Genomic DNA, 4,530 nt, shown 5'->3' with positions numbered 1-4,530 from the left:
CCCTGTCTGCAGCTCTCTCTCCTGGGTGGGGGCTGAGGACAGGGCAGGGTGGGGGAACAATGACCACAGAGACAGACTCGAGGGAGTTGCTGGTTTATTTAGGAGCCTGGGTCCAGCCCCCAGGGACCAGGCTGCACTGCTGAGCCGGCCTCAGACAGAGACGGGTCAGGTCCTGACTGGATGTCTCTGCCATCATGGAAAGACGGGTGTGCATGGGCCAGGGCAGAATCCCCCAGTGTATAGGGCAGCCTGGCATCATCTTGGCCACTCAGCAGCACATGGGGGCCTCGGGAGACTCCAGGGGTGTGGAGCGTGCCGAGGCCGTTACGAAGATCATGTCACGCACAGTTCTGCTGCCCAGAGCGGGGGCTTACTGCTGTAGGAGCGCTGCCTGCCGTCCGCCCCGTCGGCTTCCGTGGCCTCGGCGTCTGTGGCGGCCCCCGCCTCGCAGTGGTAAGGGGTCTCCAGTAGTTTCAGCACCCGCCGCACCTGGAGGATCAGGAGGGTGAGAGGGGTCTGGGGCCGACCCCCCTCCCAGGGACCACAGGGACAGGCGTGTGCTTGCCTCTGAGAAGTCCCCGCGCTCGGCAGCCTCGATGGCATTCTGCGCGATGTAGTTCCTCAGCACGTACTTCGGGTTGTTGGCGTGCATCACGCGCACGTGCTCAGCCTGCCAGGCGGCAGCGTCCCCAGCGCCTTCCAGGTCCTTGTCCAGCCGGGCTCTGGAATGACATCCGGGCTCTGGAGTCACAGCCGGGCTGGACTTTTTCCAGCACGCGACCCGCCGTCCCCCGGTGACCATGGACGCAGGGCTCACCTGTACGCCTGTAGCCAGTCAGCCCAGTGGCCCTGGTTCCTGCTCTGCAGCTCTGCCGCACTCAGCTGCTCCAGCCGAGACTGCTGCTCCACACGCTCCAGCTCCCTGGCGATGCCTGCCCGGGTGCCCATAAGCGCGAACAGCTGCGGGTTTGACTGCGCCAGCATCAGCATCATGGATAGCTGCCTGTGGAGAGGCCAGGGTGTCTGGGAGGTAGCCCCTGACCGTGTCCCTGCCCTGCAGGCAGCTGCTCCGCCTGCCCCAGCCCGCTCTCACGGCTCACCTAGAGTCCAAGGGCCCAAGCAGCCCGGTCCCCGAGGTCCCTGGAACCCCACTGGCAGGGATGGACCCCAGTGGGCACACACCAGGCATGCCCATGCTCGGCCAAGGCCCTTTGTGGGCCGAGGGGCAGGACCACTCTGCTGCCCAGCTTTCTGCTGGAGAGTCTCCACCTCCCGAGTTTAATGCTTGTGGGATGGGCACTGCTGTTAGCACTTCCCTCATTTCCAGAAGGGTCCAGGTGGGCAGGGGCCACGCCTTCTCCAGTGGAGGGGGTTTATGCTCAGCAGGGCCTGCTGGCCGGTGCTCCCAGCCAACCCCACTGGTCTTGTTTTTTAAGTTAAAGCAACAATATTTTCCACGTCTCATCCTGCACGTGGGCGGGACTCTTCAGACAGGGCAGCCCTTCCCTTTGGAAGATGGTGTGGGAAAGCTTGACCTCTGGGAGCCCATTCTCCCTAGAAACCCAGAGGCTTTCTCTGAAGCCCACCCACAGCAGAGACCACTGTCTGCCCCCACACCTGTGTCAGCCTCGCCACTCTCTACTCTGTGACCAACCGGCCCCAGCATCGCAGAGATGCCCTGAAGCCCTGACTGAATCTGTCCCTGGGAGCGGAGCAGCCACCTGGGCCCCAGCCAGCTCTGTCTCTAGCTTCTCCCCCAGCCTCTGTTTCTGATTATGCTTCCTTTTCTGGAAACAAATCCAAAGAAGTAGGAACTGAGTACCCACCGGGGATCCATCTGGGGCCGGAAGGCCAGCCTCAGCTCCTCCAGGGAGGCACACTGCTCCATCAGCCTGGCCAGGAATTCCGCCAGGCCTGGCGACTCTAGCTCCACTGGGAAGGAGCTCAGCAAGTAGAAGGTGTTTGTGAAGTCGGCACCTGGAACACAGGCTGCTCAGGGAGCTGGAAGCAGAAGGCCCAGGGTCCCTGTCCTGGTGCCACACAGACCCCCCCCCCCCCACCCCCCTGGCACAGGTGCTGCATGGACCCACCCACATGCTCCACCACCGCCCCCCACCGCCAGCACGGATCCACACGCTCCCTGACCCACACCCTCCACCTGGCACAGTGCCATACAGACCCACACCCTCCCCCAGCACAGGTGCCACACGGACCCACACCTGGCACGCATGCCACAGAGACCCACACGGACCCAAATGCTGCCCCCAGCACAGGTGCCACACAAGCCCCGCTCAGCATTGGTCCTGGGACTCCTGAGCCCTCCACACCCCACTCCTCAGCCTCCACCCATCCACCGCCCAGGCAGCTGCCATTTGCTCACCCTCCAAGTCACCTGTGAAGTGGCCTAATACTGAGAAGGCAGAGGCTGCTGCCCGGCCCTCACATCCTCACAGTCACAACTGCCTGCTTTGGGAGCTAGCGAGTGTTGAGAAGCTGCTGTAACCCGCCTGCAAAAGGCCCAACTTGTGACAGACACTGCGATCCTCCCCCTGACTCTGGAAAACACTGTCTGAAACCACAGTGACCCTAAGACTGTCTTAAAAACAAAATGAGAAGGGAGTCAAAGCAACGTACTGCAAAAAAGTCGACTACACACAAAGGTAGCAAGGGAGAACGTGAGCGACCAGAAACATGGCAGAAGCTCCCCCTCAGTAACTGCTTTGAAAGCGAATGGACTGATCGCTCCAACAAAAGGCAGATTGGCAAAGTGGGTGAAAAGACGATTTCCATGTTGTCACCACACGATCTGCAAGACGTTCAAAGACACGAACAGGCTGGAAGTGAAAGGATGAAGAAACCCAGGCAAAGAGTAACCTAAAGAGAGCTGAGGCGACTCTTAAACTCACAGCAGATAAGTTTTCTATTTTTTGAGACGGAGTCTTGCTCTGTTGCCGGGGCTGGAGTGCAGTGGCGCAATCTCGGCTCACTGCAACCTCCGCCTCCTGGGTTCCAGCAATTCTCCTACCTCAGCCTCCCGAGTAGCTGGGATTACAGGCATCCGCCACCATGCCTGGCTAATTTTTGTTTTTTGAGATGGAGTCTTGCTCTTGTTGCCTAGGCTGGAGTGCAGTGGCGTGATCTCAGCTCACTGCAACCTCCGCCTCTCCTGCCTCAGTCTCCTGAGTAGCTGAGATTACAGGCACCCACCACCATGCCTGGCTAATCTTTGTATTTTTAGTAGAGATGGAGTTTCACCATGTTGGCCAAACTGGTCTCGAACTCTTGACCTCAGGTGATCTGCCTGCCTCGGCCTCCCAAAGTGTTGGGATTACAGGCATGAGCCACCATGCCCGGCCAGAGAAGATTTTAAATAAAAAATTGTCAGAAGGGCCGGGAAAGGTGCTCACCCCTGTAATCCCAGCTACTTGGTAGGCTGAGGCAGGAGGATAACTAGAGCACAAGAAGTGGAGGCTGCAGTGAGCCGCAGCTGTGCCACTGCACTCCAGCCTGGGCAACAAAGTGAGACACATCCACCCTCAACAAAAAGTCGTTACAAGAGACAGCATTATATATGGATAAAAGAGTCAATTCATCAATAAAAATGTAAAAATTATAAACATGCACCCAATAAGAAAGCCCAAAAATGTAAACGTTGGCAGAATGGAAGGGACAGACAACAAACAGTTCTATCTATAGTAAGAGTTGGAGACTTAAACACACCACTTAATAATGGATAGACCATCTAGGGTTGGGAGCGGTGGCTCATGCCTGTAATCCCAGCACTTTGGGAGGCCGAGGCAGGTGGATCACGAGGTCAGGCGATCAAGACCATCCTGGCTAACACGGTGAAACCCCGTCTCTACTAAAAATACAAAAAAATTACCCGGGCGTGGTGGCAGGCGCCTGTAGTCCCAGCTACTCGGGAGGCTGAGGCAGGAAAATGCCGTGAACCTGGGAGGTGGAGCTTGCAGTGAGCTGAGATCGCGCCACTGCACTCCAGCCTGGGTGACAGAGCAAGACTCCGTCTCAAAAAACAAAAAAACCATCCAGACAGAAGATCAATGAGAAATGGAAGACCTGAACAACAGCCTAAACCAACAAGACCAAACAGGCACATACACGGAACCCTCCACCCAGCAGAAGAGAGCACACCGTCTTCTCCAGGGCACACGGGTACAGGACGCTCTGCCCAGCAAAAGAGAGCACACCGTCTTCTCCAGGGCACACAGAAAGTTCTCCAAGATAAGCCACAAAACAAGTTGTAATAAACCTCAAAAGGCTGACATCTCTAGTCACAATGGAATGAAGCTAGAAATCACTTAAAAACACAACACACTGGCTGGGCGCGGCGGCTCATCCCCAGAATCCCAGCACTTTGGGAGGCTGAGGCAGATCACTTGCGATCAGGTGTTGGAGACCAGCCTGGCCAACATGGTGAAGCCCCATCTCTCCTAACAGTACAAAAATTAGCTAGGTGTGGTGGAGCATGCCAGTAGTCCCAGCTACTTGGGAGTCTGAAGGAGGAGAACC

General features: G+C 57.4%; 1 protein-coding gene across 1 annotated transcript in view; it reads right to left on the bottom strand.

Moving 5' to 3' along the window:
- The window catches only part of SELENOO (selenoprotein O), a 16,606-nt gene continuing 12,153 nt past the window's right edge, over positions 78–4,530 (bottom strand). Inside the window, exons 6-9 of the mRNA NM_031454.2 lie at positions 1,827–1,977; positions 818–1,003; positions 566–722; positions 78–489 (exon numbers count right to left, since the gene is read on the bottom strand). Coding sequence (NP_113642.1) covers positions 325–489; positions 566–722; positions 818–1,003; positions 1,827–1,977 — 659 coding nt within the window. The 3' untranslated portion in view covers positions 78–324. The remainder of the gene's footprint in view (positions 490–565; positions 723–817; positions 1,004–1,826; positions 1,978–4,530) is intronic.

The sequence above is a fragment of the Homo sapiens genome, chromosome 22, assembly GCF_000001405.40.
Source record: "Homo sapiens chromosome 22, GRCh38.p14 Primary Assembly".
NCBI classification, from domain to species: Eukaryota; Metazoa; Chordata; class Mammalia; order Primates; family Hominidae; genus Homo; species Homo sapiens.
The sequence above is the reverse complement of the archived record's forward strand: the minus strand, read 5'-3'. Positions and strand labels throughout refer to the sequence as shown.